Here is a 15,029-nt window from a genome sequence, read left to right as displayed (position 1 = left end):
ACAGATAATAGGCTCTATCTACACATGTAATTTCAAAACAAGTCAACAAAAATCCTGAACTATATAAAAGAGGAGATTGCTTTATAATAAATGGACAAGTATTTTAACCAGTCAACACTCAGGCACAGCTGCAGAAGACAATATAGTGAGGTCCCCAAATACTTATACCAACCTGTACTGAACAAACGTCAACCGAAGAGAAGTCAGAGCATGAGCTGATCTGTAGCCAAGACCAGGAAAATGGAAGAGCAAAGGCACAAGTGAATGGTGGACTAAAAACCGCTACATTCAGAGAAGGCAAAACCTGAGAGGGAAAGGTACTTTATGTTGACAGGCAAAACTGAGTTTTGTTCCAGGTTCAGACAATTAATTACAAACAGGTTATTCACCTGAATGAATATCCAATGGCACACATGAACATCAAAGGAAAGGTCCTTCTGTGCACCTGGCTTCCCTGACCCCACCCACTAACTGCCCACAGCCCACCTCAAGCGATATGACCATCTCCATGCCCTCAATGTTTTTCCAAGCCAGTCCCACAAGAAAGTGATAGCTTCATCTGAGACCTGCTGAGTTACCTCCTCCAAGTTCAATGGGCAAGCAGATCCCGGATTTTATTTAGCCCTGAAGATAACCCAGTGAGATGGCATGGTTGGTATTATTTTCCTCATTTATCCACGTAGAAACAGAGGCCTGAGAGTGCGTAAGTAGCAGAGAAGTGATGCTAACCAGTGCTCTTTCTGCTATACCAGTGCGGTCCATGCTGGTTATGTATTCACTGATTCCATTTCCCCTTTCCTCTTGGGCACTCAAGTACACTCCATTTTCCAGGCCCCTTATGGTATGATTGAGTCCATGTGACTGAGCTCTGGCCAGTGGAAAGTAGACAGAGTGATGTTGATGCTTCCAGGCCTGGTACCCAGCCCCAGCACCCCCTACACTGCCCTGGTGAAGGCAGTCATCCTCTTTTCCCTTTGCACAGTGATCTCTGGAGCCATGAGTTGAAGATGGGGGAAAGACCCTGGTCCCCTGCAGGACTGAGTGGAGCAAATACTCCTTACTCCCTGGCACAACTGCACTTGAATGTCACAGAACAATGCAGGGGATTTGTATTGAGTTAAACCACTAATATTTAGAGGTTAATTTATCACAGACGCAAGAGTTTCCATAACTAATGCATCCAGGGGTTCCCTGTCTATGATTTTAGACAATACCTGACAAAGCAGTGAGTAACTTTTAATCATTTACTGAGAAAGTTGTTCCTTTTGCAATGCTGTGGCGCCCATGAGAGAGTGGATAGAAAGAGGTAGCTTGTGTTTTCTAAACAACAAATACTTTGAATACACATACAAAGAAGAAATACAAATGGCCAACAAGCACATGAATTGATGCTTAACATCATTTCTCATTCAGGAAGTACAAATCCAAACCACAATGAGATATCACTTCACACCCACTAGGATGGAACAAAACAAAAACAGAAAATAACAAGTGTTGGCGATGATGTGGGGAAATTGGAACCCTTTCATTGTTGGCAGAAATGTAAATGGTCACAGCTGCTATGGAAATCAGTTGGTTAGTCCCTCAAAAAGTTAAACATAGAATTATTGTATGACCCAGCAATTGCACTGCCTGAGTACATACCTGAAAGAATTGAAAACAGGCACCCAAACATATATTTGTACAAGAATGTTCACAGTAGCATTACTCACAAAAGTCAAAAAGTAGATATAGTAGCCCACTCAAATGTCCATCATTAGATGAACAGATAAAGAAAATGTGGTATATACAGGTACATACACAAAATATTACTCAACAATAAGAAGAAATGGTGCTATAATGGGGATGAACCTGAAAAACATTGCGCTGAGTCAAAGAAGCCATTCGCTAAAGACCACACATTGTATGGGAGCCAAGGCAGTATCCAGCGAGACTCTGGCCTCTGGCTGGGCTGAGTGACTTCTTTTCCCCCAGTGCCTTTGAACTCTCTGCACCCAACTCAGCCATGAGCAATGCTGTCACCAGCAATGGGCAGAGGGGCTGGGGCAAGAGTGGGATGGAAAGAATACTGGATGTGGAGACCAAATGTGACAGTGTCCTTGCCCGGCTGCCTGCTTTAGATCTCAGGGGACACGCCATTTCCTCTCCGATAAACTCTAAGCTCTTAGGGTAACCCATGGACCTGCCTGGCTGGGTCTTTGTTGACATTTACAAGGAGCCTCTCCCGCAGCCCTCCAAGGGGTCCCTCTCCCCTGCAGGCTGCATGCCCAGTTCTCCCTGGACCTCCCCAACCCCCTCTCTACTAACCCCCGTTTGAACAGGAAGACACAGCCTGAGCCAGGTCTCCCCTCACAAATCTCCCCACCAGGGCTGGATCGCGCAACAAATAGAGCCAGCCCCAGGGCACTCGCCGGCAGGGCGCAGCCGGTGATCGTCACAGTCCTTCGAAATTCTTAAGATCTAGGTCTTGCTGCACCCCCACAACCTACAAACAGCGTCGGGGCCTTCTCTGCACCTCCAGTTCCCAGCTCACCTCCCTCAGTGTCACAGCCGGTTACCTTTCCTTCCTCCCTGGCAAGGGAGGGCAAGACTTGGGGCTTGCTGACTCCAGGCCCAGCCCAGCCCGGGGCACCCAGGAGCCCCTCAATTGCTACTCAAACAAGACAAGAAGCGGCCCGAGTTAGTGGCCAGCTCCACCATGCACTACACATCCTGACCTCTCTGAGCCTCTACTGTCACTCGGGGTCACAACCCTTTCCTGAGCACCTCCCGGGGCAGGGGGCGATGACACACATGCAGCTGCCTGGGGGAGGCCGGCGGTGTCCCCTCCTTTCTGGAAAGCGGAGGGTCCTGGTGGGCTCTGGAAACGCAGCCCAGACCTTTGCAATGCTAGGAGGATGAGGGCGGAGACCTCGCGGTCCCCAACACCAGACTCCCGCCGCCACCGCGCCCGGTCCCGCCCTCCCCACTGCCCCCCCAGCTCCCCGACCCAGGCGCCCCGCCCGGCCAGCTCCTCACCCACCCCAGCCGCGACTGTCTCCGCCGAGCCCCCGGGGCCAGGTGTCCCGGGCGCGCCACGATGCGGCCGCGGCTGTGGCTCCTCTTGGCCGCGCAGCTGACAGGTAAGGCGGCGGCGCGCGGGCTACCCAAGGGTCTGCGCTCCCGGGGCCTGAGCGGGGAGGTGATAAGTGGCTGTCCTGGCCCTGGTCCTGGCAGGGTGCAGCGTCGAGCCCGCGGTGGCGGGGCGCCCGGGAGGCAGCTTGGCAGGCACGGTCCCTAAGGGTGGAAATAAAATACCCCCATATCGCATTACCCCGGGGGACCGGAGAGCCCCTGGACTGAGGCCACCTCCCCTCAAAAGCCTGGACGCAGGAGAAGGGGAGGCAGTGAAAAGGGGAGCGAGTGAGGGAAGGAAAGAGAGGGTCGCTGGAGGTCACCAGGGGAAGGAAACAGGTCCCTGCCCAGGGTCCCCGCAGGATGTGCTCGGAGGAAGGTTGGCCAGGCCATGGGTCCTGTGGACACATTTTTATTACTTCCGGGGAAGTGTTTGTAGTACAATCAGACAAACATCGGGCGTTCTCAGTTCTCGGAGGGCTAGGGCAGGGTGATCCCTCTGGCTCCCGTTCTCCCTGATGTCGCTGGTGTTGGGTGTCATGGGTAGCGTGGCTCCCTAGGAAGCAGCCTGGAGGTTGGGTTGTTGGAGTTGGATGGGGCATCTGGATTGTCCTTCTGAATAAGCCCAGCCAGACTGCCTTTTGGAAGAAGCCTCCACACACCCGGAAAACTACCCAAACTGGTCGATTTGCTCTCGTGCCCAAAAAGCCCAAAGCTGGTCATCTTGCCAGGGGGTGACAAGGCCTGCCCGCCGGGGGTTCTGGCCCAGTGAGTGCAACATCATAAATAGAAACAGCCCAGGCCGTTCAGAGCACTAAAGTCATTACTGATGGATCTAGAAACATCAGGTCCCTCTGAGAATGGAATTCCTGGGTTACCGAGGGGAACATGCAGTGAGGCCTGGCTCCATGTCCAGCACACAGCAGGGCCTTGGCCACAGCCCGGAGTATTCAGTTCCTAGGGGACAAAAAGCAAGTGGGCCCCGGGAAGAGCCGGGGTGTGTCTCAGCCAGGAGAGGAAATGCACACTCACAGCCCAGGCCTTGCTCTTACAGGAGTCGCTTCTGGGTTTTCCCGGAAGGGCTTCGGGCACCTGTGTACTTGCAGCCCCACTGTGTGCTCGTGAGCACATAACCACCATCAGGGAGAGGATTGCAGGTTTCTTCAATTCAGTGGTTCAAAGTCAGGTTTTGGGGTCCCACAAGCTGGGTTTTAATCTGGATCACTGTGTGACCTTGAGCACATCTTTAACCCTCCTGAGTCTCTCTTTCCTCATGGGTAAAGTAGGTGCAAAACAGTATCTCCCCCACAGGATTTGGTGAGGATCAAATGAGATAATGTATGCGCCATGCCAGGCACAGCTCAATAAACTGGCATTATTGGTTCTTATTAACTCCCCCAAGAAGTGAGTGACCCAAAGCAAGGAAAAACCTCTGCTCTGCTGGAACCGCAGTGTGGTGTTTGGGGAAACAAGAGGAAGTCCAGCAGCCACTTGTGCCCCAGGCATCATTTCCTTCTTGTTTTTATTTTTATTTTTATTTTTTAATAATTTTTTCTTTTCCAAGATGGAGTCTTGCTCTGTCGCCCAGGCTGGAGTGCAGTGGCGCAATCTTGGCTCACTGCAATCTCCGCCTCCCGGGTTCAAGCGATTCTCCTGCCTCAGCCTCCCTAGTAGCTGGGATTAGAGGCACGCGCCATCATGCCTGGATAATTTTTGTATTCTTAGTAGAGACAAGGTCTCACTATGTTGCCCAGGCTGGTCTCGATATCCTGAGCCCAAGTGATCCTCCTGCCTCGATCTCCCAAAGTGCTGTGATTACAAACATGAGCCACCACACCCGGCCCCATCATTTCATTCTTGATGCGAGCGAAAGCTAAGAGTGGTCCAGGAGCGAAGTCAAAAAGTCGAAGTTCATTTCATCAGTGTTGGAGAAGGCCATTATGGGGCCACGGAGCCTGAGCTGCAAGTGCAGGCAGGATTTTAAACATGAGGTGCTCAGTAAGCTGGCTCCTCTTGGGCACACACACATGCCCTCTGGCCCCCTCTGCCTACCCAGGTCTGTGTCCTCTCTGTGCCTCCCAACTCCTGCATCTCTGCCCTGGCCTGCAATGTCTCCCTTTGCTCCACAGCCAAAATGAAGGGCTCACCAGGTCAGATTGTGTTTGTTGGAAGCTGTGCAGCCTTGGTGTGTATGGAACCTGTTCTGATCCTTCTCCTTGAGATTTAATTTACCTCCAGTAACAACCCTGTGATATGAGACACAGGGACAGTATTTACCTGTGTACATGGCCATACAGTTTACAGTGTGCTTTTTTGGACAGCATTTCATTTATTTCCAACCCTCAGAGGCAGGCAGGACAACAGCCCCAAGCTGTCCTCCGTTCATAAGAAGACAGAGGCTCGGTGACTGGCCTGAGGTCTCACAGCTGGCACGGCCAGAGGCTGGGTTCAGGGCCAGGTCTGTGAGTCCTGCTCTAGCTCCTCATGAATAAGCCCCTGCTTGCCGGGTGCTTCTCGTCAGAGTCTAAGATGAACTCCCAGCCCTGCTTCTGTGGTGTCTGTCCTTCCACTGGGGAATAGGGATCCAGTGACCCATCAGTTGCTGGGCTCGGGGGTCATGGGCTGTAATTGTACCTACCAGGGTCTGTCCAGCAACGGACAGACCAGCCACATGCTCTGCTGTGATTCTGGGCTCCTCTCCCAGCCTGTCCTGGGTCTCCTTCGGCAGTTTGGAGCCTACCGAAGGGCTGTACATCCAGTGGCAGCCAGGGGAGGTGAAAGGCAACCAGCTTTGGCTTCAGACTTCAAATCCTTGAGTTTGACTCCTAGGCCACTTACATACTGTAAGTGGGACTTTGAACAAGTAACTTCATGCCTCAGTTTCCTCATCTGTGTAATGAGGATTAAAAATCCTGGATCTATCCTTTTGTGGTGGTACATGCCTATACTCTCAGCTACTTGGGAGGCTGAGGTGGGAAGATAGATTGAGCCCAGGAGGTCAAGGCTGAAGTGTACTATGATAGTGCCTGTGAGTAGCCACTCCACTCCAACCTGGGCAACATAACAAGACCCCATGTCTTTTAAAAAATTCCAAAGCCAGTTTGAGGCTTGATTGAGTTCCTTTATGCAAGGGCCAGGCATATAAGTACACAATAAACAAATGGCAGCTCTCTCCCCTGTACCTTTGTAAAGCTGAACTTAGCAAACACCTCCCTTCCAGATGATCTCCTGGGAGGTGGGGTATGTGAACTCTGAGTCCAGGAGCCAACAGCTGCGCTCAACACACTCCCTGGACCCAGTAACTGGGCAGGTCCTTCCATGGCTTTTCCTTTGACACTTGACTCAGTGTGACTGCAAGGTCCCACAGCTGTGGCTAGGAAAATGTGTGATGTCTCTGTTCTTGGCTTTTCCTAGTTCTCCATGGCAACTCAGTCCTCCAGCAGACCCCTGCATACATAAAGGTGCAAACCAACAAGATGGTGATGCTGTCCTGCGAGGCTAAAATCTCCCTCAGTAACATGCGCATCTACTGGCTGAGACAGCGCCAGGCACCGAGCAGTGACAGTCACCACGAGTTCCTGGCCCTCTGGGATTCCGCAAAAGGGACTATCCACGGTGAAGAGGTGGAACAGGAGAAGATAGCTGTGTTTCGGGATGCAAGCCGGTTCATTCTCAATCTCACAAGCGTGAAGCCGGAAGACAGTGGCATCTACTTCTGCATGATCGTCGGGAGCCCCGAGCTGACCTTCGGGAAGGGAACTCAGCTGAGTGTGGGTAAGAAGCAGGCTCAATGCTATCAGTGAGCACCGATTGTGTGCCAGGCACGTGCCAGGCACTGGGACCACCAGGCTTCAGTGTGCCCCACTCTGCAGCCGTGACTAATGGCACTGCTGCTAATAGTAACAGAAAGAACATGTGGAGACTTACCCAGGCCAAGCCCCTCCAAGTGTTTACATAGTTAGCTTGCTTAATGCTGCCAACCACCCTGGAAGGTAGGTCTATTACCTAACCACTTTAGGTGGGAATAAGATGAAACTAGAAGAGACGGGCCAGAGTCAGAGATGAGCATTGTGCTTCTCTTTTTTATTTATTTATTATTATTATTTTTTTTGAGACAGAGCCTCACTGTGTTGCCCAGGCTGGGGTGCAGTGGTGCGATCTTGGCTCACTGCAGCCTCTGCTTCCCGGGTTCAAGTGATTCTCCTGCCTCAGCTTCCCGAGTAGCTGGGATTACAGGCATGAGCCACCACACCTGGCTAATTTTTTGTATTTTTAGTGGAGACGAGATTTCACCATGTTGGCCAGGTGGGTCTTGAACTCCTGACCTCAAGTGATCCACCCACCTTAGCCTCCCAAAGCGCTAGGATTACAGGCGTGAGCCACCATGCCTGGCCAGGCATTATTCTTCTTATGGGGACAGGGCAGTGCTGTCCTTCAGGCCACATCAGGGACATTCAAAGCTACGGCTGGATTGGGCTGAGCCCCTTGGCCTTATAGTGGTGTTAGAAATCCCCAGAGTGTGCACACAGGGAAAGGAGGCCCTCACTGCCCTGATATACCCAGTGAGGGCATTTCTAGGGGCAGGTGCCCTTATGTTCTCTGTGAGGGCCTACAGCTCGAATTCATACCTGAGTCGAAGTTAGTAAGGAGACTGAGCCAGGCCCAGCTCTGCTTGCAAACTTGCCATGCTTTCTCCCCTGGGCCTCAGTGTTCTCTTCTGTGTCACACGGGGGTGCTGATGGCCTCCATGACCCACTTAATCCCAGAGAAGCTGCAGACCTCTGACTTAAGTCAGCAAGTCCAGCAGACGCACATTTCAAGCCACAGATGAAATTCTAAATTTTTAAAGTCTTGTTTAAAAAAGCAAAAAGAAGCAAGTAAAATTAATTTAAATAATGTTATATTTAACTCAATTTATTAACTATATTTTCATCTCAACATGTAATCAATATAAAAAGTATTGCTGAAATATTTTACATTCATTTTTCATACTAAGTGTTCGATGAGCATTTTACATAAAACATATGGCTCATCTCGATTCAGACTGGCCACATTTCATGTGCTCAGCAGCACCTGTGGCATATTGGACAGAAGGCATTTAGTTATGGGTGGTAACTCTCACAGCCTGGCTCTGGCTCTAGCCCCACCTCCAGCTTGGCCCAAGGCTGGAGCCAACCCCCTCCAGGGCTCCCACTGCCCTGCTTCCTGCTCACTTGAGGGCACTAAAAGCCACAAGGGGACCCAGAAATTAGACCACTCAGCGTGAGGAAGTGCAGGGGCAGCTGGGGACAGCAGCACAATTAGGAAGACACAAACCAAAGTGATGCCCCGCCACCTCTTGCTAGCCTGGGAGGGTGTATTGCAGGCAAGAAGCTGAGGCATCCCTTCACGTGGGGGTCCACTGATTTTCGTATTGAAAAATGGACTTTGGGAGTTTGGGGTTTGGGGTTTGGGGTTTGGCTTTAGCTTATTGTTTTTGTCTCTGTAAGCCCCACACCTTTCCACTCATGAGATTTCAGAGTCTGAGAAGGTGGAGGGTACAATAAACACAGCTAGTTTCCAGAGCTTCCCACCGCCTCCATCCCAACCGCACTCACTCCTGACTTCCGTGTTTCCAAACCCCAAACCCCTCCCAGCACTATAGGAATGTCAATGCCTCTCTCCAGCTCTGGCTTGCAGCCAAACCTGCTTCTCCCCAGGGCTTGCAACCAGACCTTCTTCGGAGCCGAACCCCACCTTCTCACCCAAGAAAGGCCTTTTAGAGGACAAAGCTGGGATGGTTGAGAAAGTGTTTGGGGAAAGACAGGGCCTTTTTCAGGCCCTTAAGTATATCATGGGCTCGAAGTTTTATTCCTTTTAAGAACAGAGAGGGAGAGATTAAACTGGGTGCTCAGGAGGAATCCAGGGGGACCTGGCTCTAGGCAAGAAGAATTTAAAACAGAACAGTCCCCCAACCTGAGTCTCCCACTAGACCCAGGCGGCGGTGCCCAGCCAAGGCACTGAGGGCCCAAAGAGTTGGCTCCCCTCTGGGCTCACCACTGACCATCTGAAAGACGTCCCTGCTTCCTCGGGTAGAAAATAAGTCAAACAGAACTACTTCTAGGGCCATGAGGATTGAAGGAGGCAACACTCCCAGGAGAGGGCCAGGCTCGTTGCACGCTCTCCGACCCTGCTGATGACAGTTTCCTCTTACAATAGTTGCCCTCAGCACTATGATGACCCAGGGCCTTGGGTGGACCTAAAGTGTTCAACTTTTGTCAGAAAATCTTTGCACGTGAGGTAGTGTGGCAGAACGAGAAGCACAGGTTCTAGAATCAAGGTCTTTTGGTGCAGATACTGGCTCTGCAGCCAGTGGCTGTCTAACTTTGGACACATTATTTCAGCTCTCTGAGCCTAGGCTTCCTCCTGGATAAAATGGGGACAACAGTGCCTGCCCCAAAAGTTGTTGTGTCCAGTAAACTTATGCTGAAAGGCTCAGCACTGCTCCCCACACATGGTTGGAGCTTAGTGCACTTTCATCCTAGTTGCTTCTTCCCATCAATGTCTTGAAGCAGACAAACAGATCGTGTTCTCTCCGCTTTCCAGAGGAGGCTCAGAGAGGTGAGGGGTTAAAATGTCTACTTTTATATAGAAGATGCCAGCCCAAAAATGACTGATCTGTGGGCTTCCCCTGCCTGTTCCCCCTTACAACCCCCCAAAACCTTTTTTTTTTTTGAGACGGAGTCACTGTCACCCAGGCTGGAGTTTAGTGGCAGGATCTTGGCTGACTGCAACCTCTGCCTCACAGGTTCAAACGACTCTGCTGCCTCAGCCTCCTGAGTAGCTGGGATTACAGGCACGTGCCACCACGCCCAACTAATTTTTGTATTTTTAGTAGGCACAGGGTTTTGCCATGTTGGCCAGGCTGGTCTTGGACTCCTGACCTCAGGTGATCTGCCTGCCTCGGCCTCCCAAAGTGCTGGGATTACAGGCGTGAGTCACCGCGCCCAGCCTTAATATTTCTTTTCTTTTCTTTTTTTTTTTTCTGTCCCCCTGACTCTAGAGTTTAGGTTCATGGTGTCTCCTTACTCCCTCTCCTACCATTTTGGAGAAAATCAGTGCAGAGAGATCTGTTTCCTTAACCCACAAAGGCAAGGGTTGGACTCTGTGGCCAGCAGTGCCCCCTTCATCCCCAGTAGGCATCAGAGCCACAGCTGTCTTCCTTTGCTCTGGGTGCTGGCCCACTGCCCCTCCCAACACTTCAGCAGGGGTCACTGGGTAAAAATGAAGGAGAGGGGTGACCCATCCAGGAGTCAGGACAGGGGTTTGGGGTCCCAACACAGCACTCACCACTTGGGGCTGCAGGGGCCAGCTCCCCTCATCTCTGGCGTTCACCTTTGAAATTAAAGTTTGAGACTGAACTTCCCTTAGCTCTGGTATTATATATATATTTTAGGGCCATCTGAGAAGGAAAACCAATCCCCAAATATGACACCTGTGTGGTACTCTACATGCAGAAAAGGGCACCCCCTCCTTCCATGAGCTTCCTCCATGTGCTTAGGGAATGCCGAGTTGGGCGGAGGGGCTCGTTGTGCCAAAGGCTGGGCGATCCAGCCCTGGGGCTCAAGGTCTTCAGCCAGGTGGAGCCACATCTACTGAAACTTTTTTTGGACACACTGTCCCTTTCATTCTCAGATAATCCCAAGAAGGAGGTGGCAGTTATCATTATTTCAGCAGATAAGGAAATCAAGGCACAGAAAAATGCTATGACTTGTCCCAAGTCACACAGCGGTTAATCAGGGGTGTAGGTCGGCCGGGTGCGGTGGCTCGTACCTGTAATACTAGCACTTTTGGAGGCCGAGGTGAGTGGATTACCTGAGATCAGGAGTTCAAGACCAGCCTGGCCAACATGGTGAAACCCCGTCTCTACTAAAAATACAAAAAATTAGACGAATGCAGTGGCACGACGAATGCAGTGGCACGACGAATGCAGTGGTACGTGCCTGTAATCCCAGCTACTCTGGAGGCTGAGGCAGGATAATTGCTTGAACCTGGGAGGCAAAGGTTGCAGTGAGCCGAGATCGTGCCACTGCCCTCCAGCCTGGGCTACAGAGCGAGACTTTGTCTCAAAAAATAAATAAATAAATAAATAAATAAAAATAAATAAATCAGAGGTGTAGGCTCTGCTCAGTTCTGTGTGGCTCCAGAGCCTTCCTCTCTCCAGGACACCAAGCTGAACCCCATCTCTAGGCCCTCACCCCTTTCCCAACATCTGAGAATTCAGAAAGCAGATCAAACATTCTATTGCTCTGTGACCTTCAAGCCCTGTAGCAGCCTGGGGAACAGTCATAAGGACTTCAGTACTTGGATGTAAGACAAATTTTGTTCATTTGTTCATTTATTTGCTCTTGAGACAGGGTCTTGCTCTGTCGTCCAGGCCAGAGTGCAGTTGCATGATCATGGCTCACTTCAGCCTTGACTTCCCAAGCTCAGGTGATCCTCTCACCTCAGCCTCCTGGGTAGCTGGGACTGTAGGCATATGCCACCACGCCTGGCTAAACTTTTTATTTTTTGTAGAGAGGGGGTTTCACCATGTTGCCCAGGCTGGTCTCAACCTCCTGAGCTCAAATGATCTCCTGCCTTGGCCTCCGGAAGTGTTGGGATTCCAGGCATGAGCCACCGCACCCGCCATAAGACAAAGTTTTGTCTTTGAGTCCACGTGGTGTTCACTTGGCTAAGATATGTGTCTTGCTTTCTTTCTGTAGTTGATTTCCTTCCCACCACTGCCCAGCCCACCAAGAAGTCCACCCTCAAGAAGAGAGTGTGCCGGTTACCCAGGCCAGAGACCCAGAAGGGTGAGTTCCCTATCCCTCTGCACCCTCAGAAACAAGGCAGACATCCCCTTGCCCTCCCTCCCTCCCCTCCTTCCTTCCCCAGGCACTTTCCAAGTGTCAACTCTAGAGCCTATCTCCCCGGCCTAAGCTAGGGTCAGAAAGGATGCTGAGTGTGCCAGCAACTCACAGTCTCGTGGGAGACAGACTCATAAATTGTTACTGGACAAAGCTTAATGGAGGAGATCTCCACCCACACCCCTGCACACAAATGTCCATAGCTTCATTATTCATACTAGCCAAAAGCAGAAACTACCCAAACATCCACCAGCTAATGAGCTGATTAACAAAATGTGGCTTATTTATTATCGTGGAATATTGTTTGGCCATAATAAAGAATAAAATGAAAGGAGCCAGTCACAAAAATCCATATACTATATGATTCCATGATTATGGAATATCCAGCATATGATCCTCTGTAGAGACAGAATGTAGATTGGTTGCTGCCTAAGGCTGGGGGCTTGGGAAAGAAATGGGGAGTGATTCCTAATGGGTATAAGGTTTCTTTTTAGGGGAATTTAAATGTTCTGAAATTACATTATGATAATGGTTGCACAACTCCATGAATACACTAAAAACCATGACATTGTACACTTTAAACAAGGGGACTTTATACGTAAATTATAACTCAATAAAGCTGTTAACAAACAAAAAATCCACTCAAAGGACCAGCACTTTAAACTTTTCCAGTTTTGGCCAGATGTGGTGGCTCACACCTGTAATCCCAGCACTTTGGGAGGCCCAGATGGGTGGATCGCCTTGAGCTCAGGAGTTAGAGACCAGCCTGGGCAACACGGTGAAACTCTGTCTCTACGAAAATGTAAAAAAATTAGCTGGGCGTGGTGGCACATGCCTGTAGTCCCAGCTACTCAGGAGGCTGAGGTGGATGCCTTGAGCCTGGGAGGTGGAGATTGAAGTGAGCTGAGATCCTGCCACTGCACTCCAGCCTGGGTGATAGAGCCAGACCCTGTCTCAAAAAAAAGTTTCCAGTTTTAATACCTAACAGAGGACCTAATACACAGTATGTGCTAGTTCATGAATACATGTTTGTTTGCAAATGAACACATTTGCTTCTCTATGCTACACCAGACACCTCAGCTGGAGTGTATGCCACATACACACACACACAGACACACATGCCCATGCACACGTTTTCCTTAAACCCATCAGCCCAAACGTGTTTCTGGAAAAATACTGACCTCAGCCCAGCAAAAGTCACTGGTGACAAACAGAAAGTGCCATCTGCTGCTACCCAGAAAACAAACCACAAGCAGCCCCTGGAGCACTGCCTCGCACTGCTCAGTTTGCTTTGTCTTAAATATTTTAAGCACCAGAAATTATTGAGGACGGCACTGAATAGGATCTGGGAGACCAGGGTGGGAAGCTGCCGTCACATGAGGTCACAGTAAAAAGAAAATCAGAACCAATGTACAGAAGAGTAAAGTCTTAAGGAGCTTAAGAGTAACCTTATTTTATAAAGTCCCATGCCCTGACCCCTTCACCTAAACGATTTCAGGCAGACTACCATAAAAAGGATATAAAAGGCAAATACAATAGAGCCACTAAGATGAGGGCGCAAGAACCGGTTGTGTGCTACGGCTGTGGAGAACCCGGCAACATCAGTTTAAACAAAGGGAAGACCCCAAGTTGTATGGCACCCCAACCCCAGTGATAGAAAGAAACAACCTGCCACCAAAAGAAGAAACCTTCATCCTAGCACTAAATTCGAGAAGCAATCTGCCCATTCATCTTCATGTAAGGACAGCTGAATGACGGCAAACTCAGTCATACTTTTATAAATGATGGCAAAAACAAAGGTCTTCAGATTTCTTGCATAATTTCTTTTCTTTCTTTCTTTTTTTTTTTTTTTGAAATGGAGTCTCACTGTGTTGCCCAGGCTGGAGTGCAGTGGCGTGATCTCAGCTCATTGCAACCTCCGCCTCCCAGGTTCAAGTGATTCTCCTGCCTCAGCCTCCAGAGTAGCTGGGATTACAGGTGCCCACCACCACGCTTGGCTAATTTTTATATTTTTAGTAGAGGCAGGGTTTCACCATGTTGGCCAAGCTGGTCTTGAGCTCCTGACTTCAGGTGATCCACCTGCCTTGGCCTCCCAAAGTGCTGGGATTACAGGCGTGAGCCACTACGCCTGGCCTCTTGCATCATTTCTTGTACTAACCCTCAGTAAATTCCCAGGGCAAAATGCAAACCAAACATTAATAGGTTATTAAGAATAACCCGGATGTGTGTGAAGGTGACCTAGTGGAGTAAGGCTGGGGATGGGTGTGGGGAAAGTAGGTGGAGGTTACACTGAGGAGAGTGGCCCTGGGTCAGTGTAGCCTAGTGGCAAGTCAGTCAGGCCTAGGTCTGAATCTCTGTCTACCACTGCCTGTACTATGAGACACTGAATAGGTGATTCAGCCTCTATGAACCTCAGTTTCCTTGTCTGTAAAATGGGGGATGCAGGGCTAAATGAGATGCTATTATACACCAGGCACTCAGAGCTTGTGGGGCGTCCACACAGACCTCAAAGCCTGTTATCATGAATGAAACCCATGGGGTCACTGAGAAGGCACTGCCCCTTGAGGCTTAGGTCTGTTCCTAAGACAACACCCTTAGGTGCTGGGGGACCATTTCTAAACCATAGACTCAGGAGCAGAGTGCAGATCCAGAGCTCAGGAGACCCTGAGGCCCCGGTAAGATGAGGAAGGCTGGGCTGGGGGTGTCGTTGGTGTGGCTCTGGCAAATGGCCCCTTACCCAAGCACGTTATTTGCAGCAGCAGCTTTTCCCGGAGAGTCAAATTTTGGATGGGAGACAGTGCTCCAGAGGAGACCTGTAGCTACATTGCTGGCCTCCACAGTGGTCTTAACCATGACCTCTCCTCAGGAAGGAGCCGTGCCGCCCTGTACATCCCTGTGACCTGCACCCACCTCCATTACAGTTTTTAAAAACTTAGTTGAGCTAGGCATGGTGGCTCACACCTATAATCCCAGCACTTTGGGAGGCCAAAGCTGGTGGATAACCTGAGGTCAGGAGTTCGAGACCAG

General features: G+C 50.3%; 1 protein-coding gene and 1 pseudogene across 7 annotated transcripts in view, besides 2 other annotated features; one reads left to right on the top strand and one right to left on the bottom strand.

Annotated features, from left to right (window-relative positions):
- ANAPC1P1 (ANAPC1 pseudogene 1) overlaps positions 1 to 3,158 on the bottom strand; it is a 51,192-nt pseudogene extending 48,034 nt beyond the window's left edge. Inside the window, exon 1 of the transcript NR_037931.2 lies at positions 3,023 to 3,158. The product of NR_037931.2 is annotated as an ANAPC1 pseudogene 1 (transcript). The remainder of the gene's footprint in view (positions 1 to 3,022) is intronic.
- The window catches only part of CD8B (CD8 subunit beta), a 46,518-nt gene continuing 34,547 nt past the window's right edge, over positions 3,059 to 15,029 (top strand). For all 6 annotated transcript variants that reach the window (NM_001178100.2, NM_172102.5, NM_172213.5 and 3 more), the window contains exons 1-3: positions 3,059 to 3,122; positions 6,529 to 6,888; positions 11,859 to 11,948. In NM_001178100.2, coding sequence (NP_001171571.1) covers positions 3,080 to 3,122; positions 6,529 to 6,888; positions 11,859 to 11,948 — 493 coding nt within the window. In that variant the 5' untranslated portion in view covers positions 3,059 to 3,079. The remainder of the gene's footprint in view (positions 3,123 to 6,528; positions 6,889 to 11,858; positions 11,949 to 15,029) is intronic.
- Positions 7,868 to 8,367: an enhancer, noted in NCBI's record as "H3K4me1 hESC enhancer chr2:87083701-87084200 (GRCh37/hg19 assembly coordinates)". NCBI's record gives its function as "activates a minimal SCP1, AML or CMV promoter by ChIP-STARR-seq in naive H9 embryonic stem cells {active_cell/tissue: H9 hESC(naive)}" and the evidence as "EXISTENCE:reporter gene assay evidence [ECO:0000049][PMID:30033119]".
- Positions 8,368 to 8,869: an enhancer, noted in NCBI's record as "H3K4me1 hESC enhancer chr2:87083199-87083700 (GRCh37/hg19 assembly coordinates)". NCBI's record gives its function as "activates a minimal SCP1, AML or CMV promoter by ChIP-STARR-seq in naive H9 embryonic stem cells {active_cell/tissue: H9 hESC(naive)}" and the evidence as "EXISTENCE:reporter gene assay evidence [ECO:0000049][PMID:30033119]".

Source organism: Homo sapiens, chromosome 2, assembly GCF_000001405.40.
Source record: "Homo sapiens chromosome 2, GRCh38.p14 Primary Assembly".
Taxonomy (NCBI): Eukaryota; Metazoa; Chordata; class Mammalia; order Primates; family Hominidae; genus Homo; species Homo sapiens.
The sequence above is the reverse complement of the archived record's forward strand: the minus strand, read 5'-3'. Positions and strand labels throughout refer to the sequence as shown.